General features: G+C 40.9%; 1 long non-coding RNA gene across 1 annotated transcript; it reads right to left on the minus strand.

Annotated features, from left to right (window-relative positions):
• Positions 1 to 643: 643 nt before the first annotated feature.
• Positions 644 to 10,735, minus strand: LOC124907992 (uncharacterized). Its single transcript, XR_007088104.1, has 2 exons — positions 10,694 to 10,735; positions 644 to 1,132 (listed from the first exon to the last, which is right to left on the minus strand). It is a non-coding gene; the product is annotated as an uncharacterized LOC124907992 (long non-coding RNA).
• Positions 10,736 to 10,990: the final 255 nt, after the last annotated feature.

A 10,990-nucleotide genomic window follows, 5' to 3' on the forward strand; every position in this document is an offset into this window, starting at 1 on the left:
GGTAGAGAAGCTGGTAATGGGATGACTTACTCAGAGCCCTGGAAACCGGATGAACCAAGTCCATCTTCACCTTGAAAGCAATGGCAAGCCATTGAATGACTCTCGCAGCTCAAATGGAGGTTAAAAGCAATTCATTTTCAGGATAAAAATGTACTTGGACAAAATGCATCTTTAAGGAAAGCTGCAGAGTAATCCAATAATGTGCTTATGCATTTTGTTTCAGAAGGCTTTCTCTTGAATCTTGAATTTTGAATAAATATGACTAACAATGACAGAATTGCTCTCTGTAGAAAAATATGTGCTATAAAAATCCAACTTAAAAAATTTTTAATTCATGGAATTTTGCTAACCGAGTCTATTTTCAGAACGAAAATAAACTAGTCTGGACAGAATTTTAATGAAATGTTCCCATTAGTATTATTGTGAGTAGATGACAGACTCCAAGTTCCAAGAGGATTAGGAACCAATGTTTCCTAGGGATTCTAGTATGCTTTACAAGTTCCTTTCTGACTGGCTGATGTAGGCACGGGACGTTGATGGCAAAATTCCCCGGTATAAAAAATTCATAAGGAGACACCTGGGCCCAGAAAGTTTTCCTAACGAAACACACACACACACACACACACACACACACACACACAGATGGCTTACAAAATGATTTAATCAAATCACATATGTGCATTTCATAAATGGGCTTTTTTGAAAACAACAAGATTACATGAAATTGACATAGTTCTAGGAAATCCAGTCTGTTTCTGTAGCAACCAATAATTAGCATGCACATGATCCTCTAGTACAATTAATTTCTAAGTGTTGGAATGGTTTGATGCTTCTAAACATCACAAAGGAAGAACTTGATTTAAAAAACTATTTAAAATATAAAACACACACACACCATTTAAATCTAAAAGTACTGTCCTTCCATCTCCTTTAACTTCATCCTTGCTGAGGTTTTGTGTTTTGGTGAGAAAATGGAGGGCAGACTTTGCATTCCATTGAGCTTTCCTTTCTCATCGATCACTTGGGTTAGTTAGCCACTTTTGCAGAAACTCAAAAGATTTTTTCTCGTCACAAGTTAGTTCAGCTGAATCGGTAGTTTGGGCTGGATACAAATTTGCACAGTGAGCTTCACCTAAAATGTGAAAAGGAAAGGTCAGAATACCTCTACAGCAAGTATTCTTAACTCTGGTTGCACATCAACACATCTGGGGAGCTTTTAAAAATACCTATGTCCAGGACAATTCCCAGAAATTCTCAATTAATCGGTCCAATATTTATTTAAAACACGTATTGCTTGTTATCAATTATCAAGTGATACAAATGAATGAACACTACAGGAAATTGCCTAATCTTGTCAATTTAGAGATTCATGTTTTTAATAATCTCATCCTTCAACTCAAAAGTATGACATAAATTAAGCTCCCAGGATATGAGTTTATTCCCTGGAAGTTACAAATAGAAAGTTAACAGCTACTAAAATAAGAACAAAAGCACGATTTATAGTTTTGTAGAACTTTAAGCTACGTTTAATAAATATTTTTGTTTCCTTTCTTTTTCAGGTTAAAGAAAACAAAACAAAACTGAAGCTCAGATAGTTTACGTGACTTGTAAAGTCACGTGTTGATGAAGCCAGGTCACTGGGACATGTATTTTACCTGTCCTGACTTAACAGTGATCTAGAAATACATATGGAAGCCTCCTCCATGCACATATACCTGACTTTTCTTTGATTTCCAAGGATTTGGGAGGACTTTGGGCTTGAAATCGAGGTGATAGCTTTGCAAATACATTAACATAATAAACTGAAGATTTTCATTTTGCAAGTGGCATAACACGTGAACATCTCAATACTAAAAATGGATTATTTTGAATTATTTTAAAGCTTACTTCAATAATTTCCAACAAAGAAAACTTAATTTTCAGTCACAGGTTCCTTGCATCTCTCATGAATTTATTGCACTAAAAACTAGGTAGATACATCATTGGGTACATCATTTGCCTTCAAATCAAATTTATGTAGACAAAATAGCTCAATTTAACGAGTAACAAGAGTCCTGAAAGAATGTGACCTTACGTCACATTATCTGAAACTGCGTAAACCACTTATCGAAAAACCTTTAAGCCCAACAGTTGACAAAGTCGTTCATTTTGTATCCCTACAAATACTAACAACTGTGTTACCCTCAATGTAAACAGCAGGCAAATCTTTACTGATATCTTTTATGACTCCCAAAGCATGCCAAGGGTCAATGAAACCTTTGGCAAAGACAGTTTTGCTTCCTGTCACATTCAGGCCACCGTAGAACTAAGTGTGGCCTGAACAGCCTAAGCCACTGAAACATTATTGAAGTCAGGGCCCAAGATATCTGAACATTGCTGAAGAAAAAAAATCTGCAAAAAAAAAAAAATTATAGTTTTGATCAAGCAGGAATGAGGAGTTCAAGAAGGGTATAAAGAGAAAGATGGTGGAGATTAATTTTTGTGCTTTGTTTTCTTCTGATAATCTGGATTTACTGGAATTACTAAAGAAACTTCTGTAACTAAAAAAAAAAGTTATTGGATGGGTACAGTGGTTCATGCTTGTAATGTCAGTGCTCTGAGAAGCTGAGGTGGGGGGGATCTCTTGAGGCCAGGAGTTCGAGACCAGCCTGGGCCACATAGCGAGATCATATCTACAAAAAATTCTTTAAAAAGAAAAAATTAGCCAGGTGTGGTTGTGCGTTTGAGGTTACAGTGAGTTATGATCATGCCACTGCAATTCAGCCTAAGCAACAGAGCAAGAACCTGCCTCTCTAAAAGATAATAATAAGAATAAATTATTGAAAACCCAATGATCTCAGGTTCATTATTTCTCATGGAGACATCTCTTCCACATGCTAAATTATTAGTTTCTTGCCAAACACCTAAAGATACTGTGATACAGCAAGGTAGCTTTTCATTTGACCCATGCATATATTTCCATGAGAATGTTTATAAACATGATATTCTTTCTTACTCAGATGAAAGCATGTGCTGAGATCCTATTCTCTAAACCTTAACTTCCTATGTACATAAGAAATGCTGGCTTCATACTTAGAGAAAAGTATGCATTTCTTAATCAAAGAACTCATACACAACTCAAGATAAATCCCTAATACTGAATGAGTTCGTATTGGAAAAAGGTAGTACTACTTTCTTTCTAAATTCAGTTGTGATAGTGACCCTCCTTTAAAAGAAAAAGGGTGAAGAGAGGTAATAATCTTATGCAGTATACCTCTAAGTCAAAAGTGAACTTCTGGCTTCTTTGACTTTTTTTTTTTTTTAAGATACAATTAGCCAGAGTTTGGATACAAGAAATGGAAAAAAAGTTAAAAGAAAGCAAGTAAGGTGTAAAAGCAAGATAACAATGGTTAGTTGCAAGAATTTGTCATAACAATGAAAAATTGAAGAAAGAGAAAGGAAGGAGGAGAGAAACTTCCCTCCTGAATCCTGGGCTGGAGCTGGATGGGCAGTGAATCCAAACAAAACAAAAGGAGAAAAAGAGGCCTGGGCTCCTCACACCCAGCAGCCCAGAATGAAGAGACACACAGAGGTGCTGGCCCCTGTCCAGGCTCTTCATGCCTCCACCGAGGCACCACTCCAAAACAGGTGGCCTGGTGTGGATCTTTTGCCTTTCTAAACCAGGGCTGCATTCCTCCTCACTGGGGAGCTGAGAGGGTTGTGGAGCCAGAAAAGACAAACTATGTGCTTCACTTGGACATTTGGTAATTTTGTGTTATTTTATCCTCAAAATTTGAGAGAGAGACAGACATAAAAAATGGAGGTACATGTGCACCACACACACACACAGAAAATCCTTCTGCTCCTCATATCAAAAAGAAAGAAAGAAAAAAGGAAAGGTAAGAGGAGGAAATAGGAAATCATTCTCCATGTCTAGCAACCTCAATTTATAATGTGAACTTCCAAGAGCAGGGGTTATCCTTGGCTGAACCAAACCAATAAATAAGAACAAAAAAACACTAACAGATGAAGTGCAAGTTGGAGGCCTGGTGTCATTTCTCCAGCAAATCTTGCCTAATCTATAAAGGTAAAATATATAGATATCTTGCATTCTTTGATAAGAATGTGTATTTTACTTACGTCTTTGGTGTAGCTTATGATCCTAATTTGGATTTTTTTAAATCAACACATCAAATATTTTGGGGAAACAAGTTTTAAATGAAGTATCTCAGTAATGCCAGCCGTTAGGACAGAGAATGCTAGTGTATACCCTCTCTTGTGTCACAGAGAGCCATTAATGTTTCTGATTCTCTGGAGTTTGATATCAAAATAGAGTGAGTTAGAGAAACTGAATTTTAATTTTGTATTGTGACTTCTCAAACTTCCATCTGGAAAATTTCTCCATTAATTTTTCATTGATTTAGGCATGGCCAATCTGATGAATATAATTATTCCTTTAAACATAGAAACAATTTGCAGTTGTGGATTCTAGTGGCAAACAGAACTCAAATTCTTACAGGGAATCCAGAGAAGGGCTGGTTCTTCGAACTCGTGCTCTGCTAGAAGCCAAATTCAGTGCAAGTCTGATAAAACCATTGCCTGGCTAGAAAGCAAAACGTCAATTATCTTAAGAATGATACTATTTCGCTGGTGACCAGAAAAAGACCTAAAAACTTTAAAGGATTCCATTTTACAACACTGTCACACCCTAGAAGAACAATTTGGATCTCCATTTTCCTCGACATTTTTTAGTCATGTCCATACATAACCACAGCAAGGTGCTGAAACTGTATCCTGTGATCGGGCATGCTATCATGGCGCCCACATGCTCTTGAAGGAGCCCCTTCCCTTCCTCTCAGCACCTGGGGTCTGTCCACTCCCCTTCCTCTATTCCCAATCTTTCTAGGTCATGCTCCACGCCCTCTGCATCCCTCCCTAGCTGACTTCCCCTCAAGATCTCCATTGTTTCACAGCAAAGTTTCTTTCTTGAATGAGTGATGCACACTTGATCCATTTGTTCATCCCCTTCTCCATACCTCAGTCACACTGTGACAGGATGCCGTCCTCCCCAGGTGTCCAGGACCTCTCAAGTGCAACAAAGAAACTTTACACCCGCCTCCTGCTTCTATAGCTGACCTTACCCCCCAAGCACATCTTCTGAGCTTTGCGCTTGGCTTCTGGGACACCTCCCTCTCAGATTCCCTCCTGCCTTGCCCAGGCTCAGCTCCTTCTTCTGCCCATTGTTTACATCTTGGTGTTCTCTTCATCCTCCTCTCTCTAGGACCCAAATCCTAGCTGCTAACTCCCAAATCGCTCCTCTAGCCCAGCCTCTCTCTCGCTTGCACACCATACCCTCCAGACACCTTCACTGGAGCCTCAAAAACTAGATGCTTAAAACAGAGCCAAATATCACCCTTACCAGACTCCTTACTCAGACATCTTCTCCACTTGTACATCCTCTCTTCCATCCACCTGGGCCAGAAAAAAAATGAACTCCATCTTGAGGTCCTTCTTATCTCTCACCTCCTTACATAGATGGTTCACTGAGTCCTGCCAATATTATTTGCCAGCGTTCTTGTCTCCGCAGTCACTGCCCTTGTCAAATGCTGGGTCCTCATCGTTTCATAGGTCAACTGTCACGAAGGACTCTCAACTGCATTCCCTGCCTCGTTATCTCTTGTCCCGTCCACCCTGCAAGCCCTTGGGAAAATATTTCTAAACCTCATACATGCTCTTCCCCTCCCTCCCCTCTTATTGATTTGTATGGACTATATGATCAAGTTCAGGCTTCTTAATGGGATGTAAAACTCTTTCTGATCTGGCCCCGCCCACTGGTCCAACCTCATGTCTTGCCACCACACCACCACCTCCCACACTCCCATTTCTCAAGCTGTACCCCACTTCTGTGGTCTAGACCCAGGTTTGCTCCACATCTGTGTGCCTTTTCTACTTCTACTCCTGCCTACATAAAAAAACATGCTTTGTCTTCTGATTTGAAAACTTCTGCCCATCCTGCCGCCTGAACTCAGAGGTTACTGCTTCTGAATTTTTCCCTTACCCTTTCTTCATACTGTCTTCCTGTTTCATTTCCAGATCTTCTCCGACCTTCTTGCACATGTTCCTATGAAAGTACCCATCCTCAGCATCTAACACAGTGCCTGGCTGGAAACTAAACCCAGGAATTAGAATTATGAGTAACCATCTGGAAATGTCATTCATGTAAAGTCTAGCAGTCATGTCAAGAACCTGGGCATCATCCTAAGAGTTTGTAGCTCTTAGCAGATAGGGAAATAATATAATAAAAAGCGACCCAGAGTGCCTGGAAGGGGGGTGAGGGACAGTTTACAATTTTAGATGGAGAGAACAGGGTGGGTGCCACTGAGAAGGCAGTTTGAGCAAAGATTCTAAGGAGACGAGGGAGTGGAGAAGATGACGTCCTGGAATGTTGCAGAGCCAGTGTGGCTGTCCCAGAGCAAGCAGGGTGAGGGGAGTAGGAATGGTGTCAGACTGGATGGGATTCTGCATGGCACTGTAAGGACAATGGCTTTTCCTCTAAGAGAAATGGCCATCATTGCACCATTTTGAGCAAAGGATTCAATTTGTTCATTAGGGATCACTACAGCTGCTGAATTAGAATAAGTGTAGGGGCCAGCACAGAGATGCAGAAACAGGTTAGGAAGCTGTTCTAATAATCCAGCGGAGAGGAGGTGGCAGCCAGGGAAGCAGAGCCAGAGGAGTTGGATTCTGGAGAAATCTAGGCCCAAAAACTTAAAAACAGTCTTGGAAATAGACTTGGAATTTTTCCAAGTACATATTCTGGAGTCATAATCTCAAGAAAATTTCTAGCACTGACCTACCCAAGACATTTGGAAGATTTGCTGTGTGTCAAGTATAACAGGAAGACTAAAGTTTCTCTTATTTTCCTGTCAATCTCATTCTCCATAATTATCTTTTTATATTTACATATGGACATTTGATAGGGAAGTGCAATCAGACTATTATAATGCAGTTCTTAAGACTATTTCCCCTCCTACAGGTGGAGTTTTGCACATATATACCTGAACTATGCCTGTATTACACATAATTACACCTGCAGGTGTATCTAACTTCTTGAAAATATGAGTTATGGACAAATCAATGCATCAGTAATCAGATACTGAAAGTTAATTTTAATAGGCAATGCTTTTCCCAAGGCTATCAATCCTTCCATAACTCCATCAACATTTGTGAGCCCTTATTCGCACCAAGCATTATCCAAAACACTAGAGAAACAAAAATGAACAAGCCACAGTCGTCTTTGGCTTCAAATCGCTGACAGTCTAGTAGAAGAGGCAAACATACAGCACAGCTTTAACTTCACCCTCTCTAAGACATCTTGCACTTAAGCCTACTCCTTCTGCAAACTGGCAGCAGTTGTAGCCCTCACACTCTGGCTGAACACCCTCTCGGGTTCTGCCTACAGCACCCCTGGAAGCAAATTTAAAACTTGCTAACAGAGGAGCTGGATGCAGTGGCTCATGCCTGTAATCCCAGCAACTCAGAGGATCACTTGAAGCCAGGAGTTCAAGACCAGCCTGAGTAACATAGCCAGACCCAATGTCTACGAAAATTTAAAAATTAACCAGATGTGGTGGCACACGCCTGTAGTCCAAGCCACTCATCTCCGGAGGCTGAGGTGGGAAGATTGCTTGAGCCCAGGAGTTTGAGGCTGCAGTGAGCTATGATCACACCACTGCACTCCAGACTTGGCAACAGTTGAGACCCTTTCTCTTAAAAATTTTAAAAAAAAAATTTAAGCTTGCTAGCAAGAGGCACTATCCACACCTTTGCTGCAGCATTTTAGGCAAAGGACTCTTCTAGTCTATTTGGGCTCTAGTTCACCCCTGGGGGTCCCTGGGCAAAAATAAAAAATAAAAATGAAAAAAGCACAGAAGAAAGCATAAATACCTCCTCCTAGGGAGATGTTAAATTCGGATAAATACTAACCCTCAGGCATGGGGCCAGGGCATTGGTGCTGTTCAAAAGCTCTTTGGGTGATTCTCAGGTCCAGCCAAGGATGAGGAACCCCACAAGGAACTGCAGGTAGAGCACTTTCTTGCTACTGACAGCTCTTCTTTCAGGTGGTTAAAAGATAACAGCATGCTTCTGAAAAGCACTGTGGAGTATCTTTCTTGATTCTGCTCTTTAAACTATGGGCGTGTGAGAATTGCCCTCTTTCCCATGTAAAGAGAGTTGTTTGTGATGTCCAGCACCCCCTTACTACTTGTTCAAGGACATTTAGTTCCTAGTTCCTTGGTAATTCCTCCCTGTGCTGAATTCAATTTTTGTAATTTGGCTACCAAGAATGTTTAATGCTGGTGGTCTATGCTCACATTTCTCAACCCCCAAATGCAAACTCCAGATGTCACCAGGCAACACTTTACCTCCTCCTGCACCTAGGCCTTCCCAAGAAGAGTTAGCCAGCTCCTCCATGTATGTCTTGTAATTTGGGTCATGGCACAGAACTCTGTGCTTCTCAGTCATGAGACACGAAACCATTGCATATCTATAGACTGATGGTGTGTGGAGGTGGCAGAAGGGATTGACAATAAAGGGCTGGGAGAATTTGGTGGGTGATGATGGAAGTGTTCTACATCTTAGCTGTGACAGTGGTTGCTTGACTGCTTATGTTTGTCAAACTCAAAACCACACACTAAAGAAAGTAAAATTCACTGTATGTCAATTATGCCTCAATTTTTAAGAAATTTTTAGAAAAGAATATACATGGAACTAGCTTTCAAGTCTAAATGAAATTTACATTTGCAACTTATTTTAAATGTCTAAAGTGATTGCTTTTATTCAAAGAAGATACAAATGAAATAAATATAAATTCCTACAGGATGAGACTCCAGGTTACTTAGCCTGGAAGATGATTGCACGAAGCTTCTGCTTGTTTGGTTTTTCTCCTTGTAAAAGATGAAAAAAAAAATGCTCAACTCTCCTAACTGGTTGCAGGGATAACTTAAAAAAAAGCAAAAAACAAACAAAAAAAACCAGACAGTTGAAAATCTCCCGTGTGAGACACATTTCTTACAACTGCTCATTTACTTTAGCAATGGCAAGCAATCCCTGGGGTTGTTGGCCTGTGAATAAATACTGCATTTTCACAACTTCCTAAAGTTATAAAACTTTGCCTGTACATTTGCCGTATTCTCAGGACAGCTTGTGCACAGCAGACATATAAGGCAGCATGCCTGTCCCTGGGGAAGACAATCTAGATGAAAAGACAAGACAGAAAGCCGAAAAAACACAGGTAAATAAGCTGCTGATGGACTTTGCAGATAGGGGAACAATATGGGCTTGAGTAGTTACTGGTGGCTTCTGGGAAAGATAGGAATTGAGATAAATCTGGAAAGTTGTATAGAGACGGTAAGACAGTGCCTTCTGGCAGCAGGAATGATCAGCGAGTAAGGACAGTGCAAACAGGAAAACACAGAAATGACCTGGCACAGGCCAGGCACGGTGGCTCACTCCTGTAATCCCAGCACTTTAGGAGGTCGAGGCGGGCAGATCACGAGGTCAGGAGATCAAGACCATCCTGGCTAACACAGGAAACCCTGTCTCTACTAAAAATACAAAAAATTAGCCGGGAGTGGTGGCCGGCACCCGTAGTCCCAGCTACTCAGGAGGCTGAGGCAGGAGAATGGCGTGAACCCGGGAGTCAGAGCTTGTACTGAGCTGAGATCGCACCACTGCACTCCAGCCTGGGCGACAGAGTGAGACTCCGTCTCAAAAAAATAAAAAAAATAAAGATAAATAAAAAATAAAAAAAGAAATGACCTGGCACTAAAATCATCTGTCACCTTGACAGCAGGGTAGTGTCTTTTCAGCCAAGCAGTAAATCCAGGCTTGGATGGGTCTGGCAAACCCTGAAGCCTAAAGCTCAGCTTCCCTCCTTTCAGGAGGATTCAGCGGCCAAACCCAATTTCAGCCAGGTCAACATTTACCACGTAGCTTACTACATATCCAGAGGCCTATAGGGAACTGGTTGACAAAGTATGTCTGACGCTACATTATAATGAAGCTATATTATAATAAAGCATGGATTCAGTGTTTTTGGTTGAACCAAGGGAAGAGGCTTCAATAACGTATTTTGCTGAGTGCATAATGTATTGTCATGGAATAAGTGACTTTTTTCCTCATTTCTCTGACTCTTTCTAGGGACAAATGTCAAACTTCACAATAGAACTATACATTCAGGTCAGGATAAGGAAACCCACAAGATTTTCAGACTGTGTTCTACCACTTAATGCAAAAGGAACCTTCATATTTAATTTTAGTGTGCTCTCAGAATAAAAGATTAATTTTTTTAAATGACAGGCCAGAAGATTTAAAATTTGCAGTTACTGACCCACACAGATCCAAGGCTGTTCTGAAATTCTCTGGCCTAATTCCCTTAAACAAACACACACACACACACACACACACACACACACCCCACAGCCAGGCATGGTGGCTCATGCCTGTAATCCCAGCACTTGGGAAGGCCAAGGCTGGTCTGTAATCTCAGCACTTGGGAAGGCTGGTGGATCACTTGAGCCCAGGAGTTTGAAACCAGCCTGGGAAACATGATGAAACCCCGTCTCTACAAAAAATACAAAACAAAAAATTAGCCAAGTGTGGTGACATGCACCTATAGTCCCAGCTACTTGGGAGGCTGAAGTGGGAGAATCACCTGAGCCCGGGAAGTCGAGGCTGCCGTGAGCCGTGATCATGCCATGACACTCCAGCCTGGCCAACAGGAATGAGACCTAGTTTCAAAAAATATATAAAAATAAAATTAAAATTAAAATACACACACAACAACAACAACAAAAACAAGTATATTTGGCACCTTAAAAATTTAGGGATCACCTGTAATCCCAGCACTTTGGGAGGCCGAGGTGGGAGGATCACTTGAAGTCAGGAGTTCAAGACTAGCCTGGCCAATATGACAAAACCCCATCCTACTAAAAATACAATAATTAGCTGG

This window comes from Homo sapiens, chromosome 2, assembly GCF_000001405.40.
Source record: "Homo sapiens chromosome 2, GRCh38.p14 Primary Assembly".
NCBI classification, from domain to species: Eukaryota; Metazoa; Chordata; class Mammalia; order Primates; family Hominidae; genus Homo; species Homo sapiens.